Consider the following 14,193-nt stretch of genomic DNA (forward strand, 5'->3'; position numbering starts at 1 on the left):
TAGATGAACTTTGAAAACATTGTGCTAAGTGAAAGAAGCCAGTCACAAAAGATGACACATGGTATGATTTTATTTATATGAGATATCTAAGAGTAGGCAAATTCATAGAGACAGAAGGTAGATTCATGGTTGCCAAGGGCTAGAGTGAGGGTGGAATGCAGAGTGACTGGTTTCTTAATGAGGTGGTGAAAATGTTCTGGAATTCGATAGCAGTGATGGTTGTACAACCTTGTGAATATTCTAAAAACCCCGGAATTGTATATTTTTAAAGGGTGAATTTTATGGCATGTGTTTGTATCTCAATTTTTTAAAAATAGCCATGAAAATTCTGAAAAAGAAGTTAATGAGAGGAGTAATGAGAAGGAAATATCTCTAACAGATATTAGCATATAAAAAGCTACAGCAATTAAAATAGTAAAACCTAGGAAAAACCAGCACGTGAATGGGTAATTTGATCAATAGAACCAAATGGAGAGTCCAGAAATAGACATAAACCATCTAAGAATTTAATTACAATAAATATGGTACTACCTATTGGTAAAGAAAAGGTGAATTATACAATAAATGGTATTGGGACAATTGTGCAGCCATTTAATAAAGTAATGTGGTATTTCTACTTTAGTCCTTACATTAAAATAAATCCAGATGAATCAATTGTTTTTAAGTAAATATAAAAGAGAAACATCACTGGAAAGAGAGAGAGGCTAGAACACAGCTCTCTTGGACAACATTTAAGACTATTATTTGATTTTTAGTATATAAGCCCCAAAGAAGCACTCACAAATATTTACTTATATGGAAGCTGGGTTTAGTCCATATATAATAAGGCATATACAAAATAATTTGATTACTGTAATTATATTCATGATGCTAACAGTGATGAATAAATTGCTAACAATGACTATATTATCATGATGATGATAATAGGTTGATGATATGTCAACATATATACACAAAGGAATTGGAATCAGATGTATGAGTGAATGATTGCTATGTAAAAGAAATAAAGTACGTGTTCATCAATTTAGAAGTAAGCAACTGTCACCTTTGACCAAGAGAAGTTGGCCAAAGTAGAGCTTTGACACAAAAAATTGTTGTTGTTTTTTTTTTTTTTTTTTTCAGAGCTCCCAGACACCCTGATGATGACAGGACATTGATAAATAAATATCCTAGATTTAGGGACACCAGCTATTATGAAATTTAGACCTTTGACTAATTTGGGATGTTCAGGGATGAAAGGTGGGCCTAAACAAAGGGAGGACTAATCTACTAGCCTTTCTGGAACTTTGGTAAAACAGCATCAGAATGAAACCTTTTGGAATCTTTTTATAAAAATCACCATAAAATCACCGTTTTCATTCTTTTTTTTTTTTGAGATGGAGTCTTGCTCTGTTGCCAGGCTGGAATGCAGTGGCATGATCTTGGCTTATGCAACCTCCACCTCCTGGGATCAAGCGATTACCCTGCCTCAGCTTCCCCAGTAGCTGGGACTACAAGTGCCCACCACCACACCTGGCTAATTTTTTTTTTTTTTTTTTTTTGGATTTTAATAGAGACAGGGTTTCACCATGTTGGCCAGGATGGTCTCAATCTCCTGACCTCGTGATCCGCCAGCCTCAGCATCCCAAAGTTGTGGGATTACAGGCGTGAGCCACCACACCTGGCCACCATTTTGTTTCTTTTCCTGTTCTTCTATGATAACACCATGATCAGGAGTGTGCATGTAGGTATGAAACTGTATTGCCTTTCTTTAAAAGAGTCAAAATACAAAATCTGCTGTTATATCTTTCTTCAAGATCTTATATTTAATAGCATTTTATTTATTTTGACAAATAGTTGCTATCTGTAGAGTCAAAAGCTAATATGGTCATCACTATTAAAATTTATTTTAGGGCCGGGCGCGGTGGCTCACACCTGTAATCCCAGAACTTTGGGAGGCCGAGGCAGGCGAATCACGAGATCAAGACATTGAGACCATCCTGGCCAACATGGGGAAACCCCATCTCTACTAAAAATACAGAAATTAGCTGGGCGTGGTTGCATGTGACTGTAGTCCCAGATACTCAGGAGGCTGAGGCAGGAGAATTGCCTGAACCCGGGAAGCGGAGGTTGCAGTGAGCCAAGATCACACCACTGCACTCCAGCCTGGAGACAGAGCGAGACTCCGTCTCAAAAAAAAAATTATTTTAATGTAGACATATTTTCTCAATGAGCTGGGCCATCATAGTCAATTTAGTAAATATTTATTTAGCCTCTACTATGTGCAAGGCACTGGGCTGTTGAAGAGATTCAAATATGAATCTTTTTATTAATTCTGCCTCCTGGGGTGGTTTATTCTTCCTAGGAAAGAGAAGGCATAAAAATAAGTAGGTAACTACAGTAAGCTGTTGCCACACAAGGAAGGCCTGATCAATGTATAAAGGATCCACAAAATAAAAATATTATTCTTCCAGGATGGGTAATTGAGTAGAAATAACAGTAGATATAATAGTGATACATCCTTATGGTCCTCAGAGGCAAGACTACAATTTATGAAATTCAACTTTTCATCATTAAAAAGAGAGTTGGATTGTAAGTTAGAGTGACTGGCTAACTGATTGATTGGTATCTTCTTTGGGGACATAGTAATAAAGGGTTTATCTTTAAAGGTATGGTTTATTGTCTGTAAAAATATTAGCATAATTACCTTGCAGTGTGGAGCCAATTAGTGCAGATTATAAACTGTTTTCATAGCAACTATGGCAGATTAATATGGCCACAAACACTTTGCAGCTTCTCCTATACAGAAGTGGAGCCAATTTCTCTGCCTCCTCATATCTGGGCAGGCCCTGTAACTTGTTTTGACAAAGAAAATGTAAAGAAATTGATTTCTACAATTTCTGGAGCCCAGGCCTCAAGGGATCTCACACAGCTCGTCTGTTTGCCATCTTCGGATGTTACCCTGGAACCGCAGTGAAAGGAAGTTTCTCTAGCCTCCTGAAGGATAACTGGCTTCAGGGAGGAAAAGCAACCTGCCTTAGGCAACAGCCATCCCCAACTGCCAGGCACATGAGTGAGGCCACTTTGAATATTCCAGCCCAGGTGACCCTGAGCTGAAATAAGACTAGGCAAAACCAACAGAAAAACCACTTTACCAACCCACAAATTTGTGGGCAATAAAAGTTGTATTTTAAGTCACTAAATTCTTGGCTTAAAACAACTGATACAGAAATTAGTAATTAGATTGGTATGCTGCTGTAACCAAAAACCTAAAACATGTGACATTGGCTTTGGGATTGAGTGGTAGGTGGTGGTTGAAAGGAAGGTGATAATATTGTTAGTGGAGACTGAAACAAGAGTAAAGAAATTGCTATTAGAGGATAGAAAAGGAGTACCTTCATTATGTAACCTTGGAAAATTTGACAAAAATATTTCCTGCAGTGACTTGGAAGAAAGACATTTTACTTAATGAACCTGTACATCTGGCTGAGGAGATTTCAGACATCTCTAGACAGACTATAGGAGAGACAAGTGGATTCCCCTAGCTGTGTACAATGAGGTTTGGGAAGAGAATGATCAGCTAAAGAATGAGCTACTTGGTTACAAGGAGAATTTAAGACAATAAAGCAGACCCCAGTACTCAGTTGGAAAATGAAGTTGTTAGTCATCCAATAAAATTAGGGCAAAAATCAGAGTGTGTAGGTGTAAGATTTTTAGCAAAAATCTCTGAAAGATTTTAGGCAGAGCCTAGTGGACACTTTCAGCTACAAAAAAAAAAAAAGCCTTAAAAACTATTTAAGAGTTTTCTGATGGCAGGTTCACTTGCAGCCCAAAGAAGAGAGGAGCCTGTCTCAAAATAAAATATATAGGCATAACTTCTGGGGCTTGAGTAAATGACAGCTAGATTCTAAGTAAACTCACAAAGTCTTTAAGACAGTCCTTCAGCTTAGTCTAAAAGAGACTGAAAAAAATACAAAATGAAAAGGGCCCCAAATTTCTATGGGCAGAAACATGCAAAGAAATCCACTCAGCTGCAGATACAGATCATTTCTTATGAAAAAGGAAAGCCCTCTTAGAGGGAAGGTAAAAGACCCTGGAACTAAAGAGAACAATGGACTAGGGAACCCACTCCTGGGGAGCAGAATCAGGCCTTAATCAAGAAACATCCCATTTCCCTGGAGTAGTGGGGTAATTGGCTGCATGTCAGAATTGCTATGGCCAAGGACTGCTATGAGCTTTCTGTTCTCATCCTTTTTGAATGAGTATCTGCTATGATTATCCTGTCCCTGCACCGCCACTCTATGTTGAGAGTATGTGTTGATGATAACTTGTCTTTTTCATAGGTCTGTGGGTCAAGATGAGCTGAAAATGAAGACCCTCATCTGTATTAGACCACATGCAGATCTTCAGATACTGGTCTTTGAGCCAGATGCTATCACTGTATGAACATTTTGAGGGTCTGAGGAAGAGGTGACCTTCTTTTGCATGTGGAAGAAATGTAAATAATTGTGACAGAGGGCATGCTTTAGAAGATTCAATATGGTCACAGATTTTTTACTGCTCACCCATTAAGAGGCACAGTCTGTTATCTCCTCAAATCTGGGCTAGCCTATGACTTGCTGTGACCAACAAGATGAGTTCTGGAGTCTAATCCTCTGGACACTTCACACATTAGTCTTTGCTCTCTGGGTACACTGCCCTGAAACTTTCATATAAGGAAGCCAGGTTAGCCTATTGTATGAGTGTGAGAAGTCACATGGAGAATTGAGATGGCCAGCCAACAGCCAGCGTGTGAGTGAGGCCACCATGGACCATTTTAATGAAGCCAGCCCTCCAGGTAAATGCAGCCATGTGCTCAGGTGGAAAGAACAGAGGATCTACTCAGCCAATACACTGAATTGTTTTAAGCGTGGACTCAAGATAGTTTCTTACATAGCAATAGGTAACCAATTTAGCAACCAAAAAATAATAATAATAATAATCCTGGTAATGCTAATCACCATAATAATAGCAGCAGCCAACAATATCAAGTGTTTCATATGTGCTAGGCATGTGCTAATAACTTTACATGCAGTATCTTGGTTATTCTTTAAATAATCCTATGATACTATTTCTGTCCCCTCTTCCCCTATTACTTCAGAGATGTCTCAGGCTTAGAGAGGTTAGTTAACGTGCCCAAGGACACAGCTAGAAAAGAACAGAGCCAGGACTCCAATCCCAGCCTAGCATCAAAGCCTGTGCTCTTAACCATCACCCTAAGCTGCTAATGGCTTTTCCTGGAGACTTTAAAAAATTATGAGTAGTTCATCAGCTATTTTTAAAGTAAATATAAAAAAGGTTATCAACTGAGGAGTGTGCTATGATCCTATAGAACACGAAGAAACAGCTAAAATTGAATGAATTGACTTGTCCAAATACGTACTAAAACTTGCAAGATCACAGTTTTTCTGGCAGAGGTCATATTATGAAAAACAATACATACTGGTCATCTCCAATAATTCTATTCTTTTAGCACAGCAAGAACTATATTGTATATTGAATATCTGTATCCTGGAAATGATTGGAACCTAGACTCCAGGGCTGAATAGGACTCTTTTTTGTTTTTGATTTTTTGGTAAATATATCTCTCATTCTACCCGACTTTACTCTAAAAAGTCTATGCCAATACATGAATGTCTAATTATATTTTTAAGTTAGAATAACTTATGCATGTATTACTTTATGATGTACTGCTTTAAGTAACTTCAGAATAACCAACCATATACCAGTCTCATATGCATTATATTTTGACTCCTTAATATCATGATTTAATATACACAAAAGCAGTATAATTCAGTGCAAGAATTTGTAAGGAATAATTATTATTGTGTTATTAATCATTATTAAATTATATAAAATAAGTCAAGATATTGGTTAGGTGCAGTGGCTCACATCTATAAATCCTAGCACTTTGGGAGGTTGAGGCAGGATGATCACTTGAACTCAGGAGTTTGAGACCAGCCTGGGCAACATGGCAAAAACCCATCTCTACCAAAAATACAAAAATTAGCTAGGTGTGGTGGCGCACACCTGCAGTCCCAGCTACTCAGGAGGCTGAGGTGGAAGGATGGCTTGAGCCCAGGAGGTGGAGGCTGCAGGGAGCCATAATCACACGACTGCACTCCACGCTGGGTGACAGAGCAAGACCCTGTCTTAAAAAACAACAAAAAGAGTCAAGATATTAAGCTGATAAACCATGAGGCATTAATTAACTACAGTTTACAGCATAAAAGGGAATTAGGTTAACTTAGGATTCAGATATAAATTTTCCTGAGAAAATAAGGTTCGTGCAGCTTGTCTCTTAAATTGTAAGAGGTGGTTCAGATAGAATTCCTTAAGGAACTTGCACATATTATTACTGAACTGTCTTAAATCAAATATATTTATGATATTTATGTGTTTGAAACTAATTTCTATGGTGTCATCTGACTCTGGTATTTACATTGTGTTGTTAATACAGATGACATCAGCATTACCCCCAAAAGTGTACCAAGATAAGGTCTTTCCTGTGACACTTCAGCTTAGTAAAAATGCTAATGAGAGACTTAGAAATATCTGAGCTGGACAGATGAACTCAGCACCCTTAAAATGAATTGTTTATTTATATGCTTAGACAAGTACAGAGTTGAACTTTATTTCCAGAAAAGCACCTGGTCACCTACATGAATAGATAAAGATGATGTCACTGCCTACAAAATAGGGTGAGTATTCTGAATTAGTTTTCAGCTGGACCAGTGTCTGGGTAACCGGATTTAAAAATATATATATTTTAACATGACTACTTTTGGTCAAAAGTAGTCTTGCAATAGCCCATGTGCAAGAAATAAACAAAGCTAAATGGCTTGTTATAAAGACCTGGATCTGGGCTCACTGCACCATGGTCAAAACAAGTCAGTACCCTTCACCTGTCTCTGAAGACAATGTAACCTGACAGAAAGGAGAAATCAATACAGCTCCATGAGGTAGCTCCATTTGCTATGTTTCTGTTTCTCAGCCCAGACTCCGGAAGCACTGGCAAGAATCTTCAATAGGTTTCAATGTGGTGGTCCTTCAGCTTTTTAGAGTCTACTGACCTTATCCAGAGCTGCCTGTACCTCAGCTTCACTTTCTGTGTCCAATGCTGACGTGGCCTCATCCAGCAGAAGGATCTTGGGGTTGCGAACCAGGGCACGTGCAATGGCGATCCTCTGCTTCTGCCCACCACTCAGCTGGGCCCCTCTCTCTCCAACCAGGGTGTCAAATTTCTAACACAGAAAACATGGATCAGCTCTTGAAGTAACTTAAATTTAAAAAGGCTAGGAATTCTATAGAACTACATAAAGACAACATGGAGCTTTGTCTTAACTATTTTAATGTATCATAAAGTATGATAAGATAAATGAATTCTGAATTATAAAAAACTGACACATGCTGTATAAAATTTTATATTAATCATCTACCATGCTATAATCCTTTAACCCCTAACTGAGTCATTCAGGGGACTTATCTAGCAAAGTTGGACAATCTTGCATCTCAAACATTATTAGCTAAACCTTTGAAGAATAAACTCAGTCCTATGAGGTGAAATTCTAATTTCAAGGACAACTACTTTATCAGAGGCTTTACCTGTGGTAATTTCATGATAAACTCATAGGCGTTGGCCTCTTTGACAGCTTTCTTTATCTCATCCATGGTTACATTTCCACGGCCATAACAAATATTTTCAGCAATTGTGGTGGAAAACAGCACCGGCTCCTGACTCACCACACCAATGATTTCCCTCAGATAGTTTACATTAAAGTTCCTAATATCCTGCCCATCAATGTTAATCTGAAAGAAAGAAATATTTCCTATTAAGTATTTAACCATTTAATAGCTGAAGTATCAGGACCATTCATGAAAAACATCCTACCTAATATTTAACTTGGTTCAGTGTTTAGAAATAATAATTAGAAATAAACAGCAATATGCAAGAACAAAAATAAAAAGCTTATGCTCTCTCCTGATATTTATTTTCATATATACAGTTTTTTCGTGGAAGGATTATTTGCCATAAACAATTTTGGGTTTTATGTTTTTGGCATACCATTATTTTTATGTTCCAATATTAAATTTAAATAAAAATGCACACTTACCTTCCTGGTCTACATATAATTTTGATAGCTTATGGTGTTCTGCTTTTTTTTTGAAATGGAGTCTCGCTCTGTCGCCCAGGCTGGAGTGCAGTGGCCCATCTCCACTCACTGCAAGCTCCACCTCCCGGGTTCACACTGTTCTCCTGCCTCAGCCTCGAGAGTAGCTGGGACTACAGGCACCCACCACCATGCCCGGCTAATTTTCTGTATTTTTAGTAGAGACGGTGTTTCACCATGTTAGCCAGGATGATCTTGATCTCCTGACCTCGTGACCGCCCGCCTTGGCCTCCCAAAGTGCTGGGATTACAGGATTACAGGCATGAGCCACTGCGCCTGGCCCATGTTTTGCTATTTTTTACATGCTTTAATTTACTTCCTTTCTTCTTAAATATTTGACTTACTTCAATATTTATTGCAAGAGTAGAGAATTACTAAGTTGAAGATTATGATTTATTTTTTCTCCCTTGACAACAATTGCTTACATGTACAATGACTGGATTTGCTGGGCATTTGTTGCTTGTTAATAAAAGGCTAAATAATTATCTTAAAACATTTTAATAACTTACATTGTCAACAGGAATATATAAATATATCTGTTTCATTGTAATTTACTAGCACTGGGTTTTATCATTTTAATCTGTTTTCTTCCAATTAATAGGTATGAGGTGATAGCTTATATCTGTTTTCATTTGTATACATTTATAAAGTTGACCATTTCTTGAAACTTTTTACAAATCTTTATATATTCCAGAGAGTCGCATGTTCATAATGAGCAGGGTTACCTTCATATATTCATATTAACTTCTCTAATAATAAATATAATACTTTTTCCATATATAATAAATCTTTTGTTCCAATTCATTATTTTTGTCCTTTTTTTTTTTTAAATTTAGAGACAGAGTTTCATTCTGTCACTCAGGCTTTGGAGGAGCATAGTGGTGCAACCATTGGTGCAACAATAGCTCACTGCAGCCTTGAACTCCTGGGCTCAAGTGATCCTCCTGCCTCAGCCTCCCAAGTAGCTAGGACTATGGGTGCACACCACCAGGCCTGGCTATTTTAAAAAATATTTTGTAGAGACAGATTCTCATTAGTTGCCCAGGATGATCTCAAACTCCTGGCCTCAAGTGAACCTCCCACCTCAATCTCCCAAAGTGCTGAGATCACAAGCATTAGCCACCATGTCAGGCCTTTATTGCTTTCTTTCATCATAGTTTTATTGGTTTTTATTGGAAAGAGGCTTAAGGAACAACTGAATTAATCAATTATGCCACTGGGCATTTTTTTCTATTATTTCAGTGGTAAGAAAATTGTTAAATCATGATGTTAACAGTGAATATCTCTGAGTTATAGAATTTCTGAAGATCTTTTTTTTCTGTTAACATATGCTTTCTTTAAAAATGTCAGTTGTTTCAATAATAATTTAATTCTCAATGGTTGGTATTTTACCAGGTTCTTTTTAAAAAATAAAGAAAATATTTACACTTGAACCAACCCAGAGTTTACTTTAGTAAATGAGAATGGGCCTATGTTCCCCCATAGTAATATCAGATTTTTCCAATAATATTAATTTTATTAAATTAAATAAATAGTTCCATGTATTGTAGAAAATTATGTATTAATTCTGGAGATCTCTGTTCTGTCCCAATGCCTTTTTATGATTTTTGGTTTTGGCATGCCATTATTTTTACTTTTTACCTTATAATCTTCTGTTTTCACAATTATTGAATTATAATCCATTTTAATATCAGATAAACTCAATGCTCTAAAATTGGGACAACTGAGGAAATTCTGAATATAGCTCGTGGACTTGTATATTGCATTAATGTTAAATTTACTGATTTTTAATCATTGTTTTGTGGTAATCTAAGAGAATGTCCTTTTTAGGAATGTATTCTGAAGTATAAGGGTATACATAATACACACACACACACATAAACACACACATACACACACACACGGAGAAAGAGAAGATGATAAAGCAAGTGGGTCAAAATATAAACAATCTAAATCTGGGTGAAGGATCTGTGAGTTCTCTAGTTACAATTTTCTGTAAATTCAAATTTATAGCAAAACTTTTAAATGGCAAAAAAACATACCCTAGGCTATTACTGTCTCTGTGTTTCTAGAATTTTCTCAAGAGACTAGTTTCTTAAGAGACCATCCCACTTTCCCCCTTAGATATTCCTAAGTTTAAGAAAACTCAACTGTCTTGGATGAATTTAATTGCTGTCCTAAAATATCTGGTGACCCTAATTGTCATCAATTGTTCCCAACAATTGCTATATGGAGTATGTTTGACCAAACTCTAACTCATTGAAAGTAATCCTCTCAGTGGTTTGTAGACTGCTTTGCAGTAATTTAATGTGTTATGAAAGCTTAGTCAGAACAGAGGAGAGCTTTGTCCAGCTTCCACAGCTTTTATGACTTTTATTTAATGCATTTGTGAAACCAGCCCAAGGGTGTGAAGGCATTATCCATCGGCATTGCCATTTTGTAGGCTTTTTACCAAAACTGGATTCACACGCAAATTTGTTACTGAAAAACCAATTTCAAAGGGCCAATTTGTATCCAGCTTCCCACTCTGGAAAGCTTGGTTCTTCCCACTTACTGTGCCCTCATCAGGGTCATAGAGCCTCTGTATCAGCTGGACCGTTGTGCTCTTCCCACAGCCACTACTTCCAACCAGGGCCACCGTCTGCCCACTCTGCACCTTCAGGTTGAGGCCCTTCAAGATCTGTAAGGAAAATGAGAAAAAAGAACACACTTCACAACAAAGCCCTAAAATGGGAATAATTCGATTCAGTTTGAAATTTGAAAAAAAAGTATCAAATAAGGGAATATAACCCCCAAAGGAAAAGGCACATAAGTATCAAAATAATAGAGACTTTATTCTTTAAAATGATTCAACAATCAACCTCAGTTAGGAATTCCTATAAATATTACTTACAGTACCTTGACGTTAGCTCGAGAAGGGTAAGAAAAGTGAACATCATTGAACTCCAAATTCCCTTTGATGCTGTCTGGTTTGTGTCCTCTCTCTGAAAAACTGTCAATTTTAGGATTCTAAATAAAACAAAATGTAATGACTATTCCATCATAGCACAAACAAGTTGCATTTTTAAGGAATATGATTCAGCAAATTCCAAAAATAGGACCTGGAATGTCACAATCCCCTTTACATAAGAAAAACCCAAGATGAAGATTGTGTGTATATGTATGTGTGCTGTTTAAAGAAATACTCCTTTTCAGAAAATAGTGTTTTCCTGAAAAGTACGTAAGAGATATTCATCTCATTTCATATAATATTTCCCTTTAAGTTTTTGGCATATCCTCATAAATTTTCTAAATGGTCAGATATGCATATTTATACAAGTGCAATAACAAAAATATGCTATAATTGATATATATTATAGCCAAGTATTTCAGCATTTAGTGAAAATTAGCTCATTCCTAAATAATAAATGTAATAGATTGAATTGAGAAGATTGAATGGTTGATTATAGCAGTTATTTAGAAATAATGTAAACTTTTAATACAATCAGAAACTGAGCACTTTTCTCACGACTTGGATCAATGAAAAAGGAAATTGCTTAGATTAAATGATCAAATTTCACTTAGCTACCTTGCAATATTTGAATGCAGTGACTTACTTTTTTACGTCAAAACTTTTTCTTTTTCACTGTAGTCAGTTTATTTAATGTAGTTTATTTAAAATCATACCAAACATGCAGTGATAATTTTTTGGAGAGGGGGAACCCACAGCAAAATATACTGTCAATTTTGGTCCCACCGATAATTTATCTACCCCCCATCCCATATAGAAATCATAAGATTCTCAGTCTGGCTACAACATGAAAGTGAAAAAGATAAAAACTAGGAAGAGAAACGTCTTTGCTCTGCACTAGTGCAGATGTCCTTTTCCAAAATGAGATCAGTATTATTATATTATCTAAAGATACATTTAAAAAATATTAATAAGAGGTATTTTCTTTCATTTATTACTAACAGGTCATTCATTTCATATAATTAAATGTCACTTTAGTCAGTACAACTTATTCAATGTAGTTGATTCAAAAATATGCAAACTAAAGCCAGATTTAATTATACAAGCTCAAAGACTTCTTTTGGCACTAAAATAATAAATGACTTACATTATCAATAATATCAAAGATCACATATGCTGCTCCTCTTGCATTGGCAAAAGCATCAATACATGGGGCAGCCTGGCCAACACTGAAAGCTCCAATTAGGATTGAAAAAAAAACCTGAGCAAAATAACATGAGGAAAAGTTTAAGTCACATTCTGGCATTCATTATTATCTAAAATGTGATGTATATGTAACATAGTACATAAAGGATTAAGTTTAGGTTTATCCTTTCCTTTTTTTTTTGTGGAAGAGCAACATTTGCAAGGCTAATATAGCATTTTATTGCCTGAGTGGGTCTATTTTCTCAAACTACCTATTGTTCTCCTGAATACATACAGAGTTAAAAAGATTTTTCAAACCTATTTCATTGACTCACTCACAAATGCCACCAGAAAGAAACATTTTCAGTCAGTATTATTATTCCATCCTATATGATTTTCTCTAACTATGCATGGAATTACATAGACGGTTCAATATAAAACATGGCAGATTTTGGCCCTATGTAATGCTCCTAAAAAGCACCATGTCACATATATTTTTAAAGATTTTTAACATAAAAAGTAACAGTTTGCACATCATAAAACATAAAATCACTCCAGTGTGCACTGGTTAGCAATTCCTTTACACAGTTATTCTGTACTGTAGCATACAACACTTAACACATTTCCCTTCACAGTATTTTTTCACTAGGAAAATGAATTGATATAAAGAAGCTCAGAATACAGCTTCAGGAATCCAGATTATTAGCATAACTTAACTGAGAAAAACATAAGTGAAGATAAATTATTTTTTTCTCTCAGGGCATGGTAAAACTTCTACATATAATTTGGCTTTTCTCAAAACACAGCAACACTTCATGTTACCCATAACTCAAATATCAGTTAAATATCTATCCCCCATCTGCAATACAGATAAGGACCAGTAAGAAAGAAAAATAATGTTGACCAAAATAGTTGCCATAAGGTTAATGCAATAGAGTCCCTGCCCTCTATGCAGAGGGCTTTGCTTGGGCTCCCTCTGGGGATAGCAATCTCAGCCCTACCGGATAGGTGTCATTATCCACATACTACAAATGAGGAAATTAAGGCCATAGAGGACAAACTCATCACCAAAGGTGAACGGTTGTCAGGATTCAACCTCCCTTCTTCATAAAACATCAATAGTAAATGAGGAAGTGAAGAAAGGGTAGCAAGCTTCCAAACCGACTGCCAGAGAGAAGATGGAAGTGAGAAAAATTAGACTCAGCATTAATGAGGGCTCACCAAGTCGAACACCCACAACCTCTCAATGAAGTCTGAAGATACCACTGCATAAAGCATTCTGAAAATATTCACTTTCATAATGACCCCAAGTCATCATCAAAGGGCCAAATTATGCTCAGTATCCTCATTTTAGCAAGATAGGGAAGTACAGATGTTAAAAGATTTCTATTTAAATAGTTACATATTGTTCTGAGTCTCTGACATGAAAAGATGGTCACAAAATATTGGTAGTTCATAAATGTGGTTACAAAAAGATATACATAGTATGATCCCAGTTTTGAAAGAAAACAATGTGTATATATATAGAAAATGACCTGGAAGATATATGCCAAAAATTATCATCAAGAGAATATAAATTATTAGATTGTAAGTAATTTTAATTTTAAAAATTCTGTATCCTAATCCTTTGTAAAATTAGTATATATTATTTTAACAATCATAAAATGAAGCTATCTTCATTTTGATAAATAAAAACAAACTAACATAACATCTCTTCTTGTATTTCAGAGAGCTGATTGTTTTAAGTGATATAAATGTAACATTTTCTTGTGCAATGACCTATTCTGTAATAATGATGCTTACTTTCTTATACAATAAAACTCAACGGCAGAGGGAGGATGGCTCCCATCCATATTTGTTTATTCCTAA

The 14,193-nt window shown here is 36.0% G+C and overlaps 1 protein-coding gene across 20 annotated transcripts in view; it reads right to left on the reverse strand.

Moving 5' to 3' along the window:
- The window catches only part of ABCB4 (ATP binding cassette subfamily B member 4), a 110,132-nt gene that overhangs the window by 66,680 nt on the left and 29,259 nt on the right, over window positions 1–14,193 (reverse strand). For all 20 annotated transcript variants that reach the window (XR_007060054.1, XR_007060047.1, XR_007060046.1 and 17 more), the window contains 5 exons: window positions 12,287–12,400; window positions 11,088–11,198; window positions 10,744–10,869; window positions 7,624–7,827; window positions 7,092–7,262 (listed from right to left, as the gene is read on the reverse strand). Coding sequence is in view for 8 of the 20 variants with exons in the window: in XM_011516309.4 (XP_011514611.4) it covers window positions 7,092–7,262; window positions 7,624–7,827; window positions 10,744–10,869; window positions 11,088–11,198; window positions 12,287–12,400 (726 nt within the window). In the remaining 12 variants the exon portion in view is untranslated. The remainder of the gene's footprint in view (window positions 1–7,091; window positions 7,263–7,623; window positions 7,828–10,743; window positions 10,870–11,087; window positions 11,199–12,286; window positions 12,401–14,193) is intronic.

Source organism: Homo sapiens, chromosome 7 (assembly GCF_000001405.40).
Source record: "Homo sapiens chromosome 7, GRCh38.p14 Primary Assembly".
Lineage (NCBI taxonomy): Eukaryota > Metazoa > Chordata > Mammalia > Primates > Hominidae > Homo > Homo sapiens.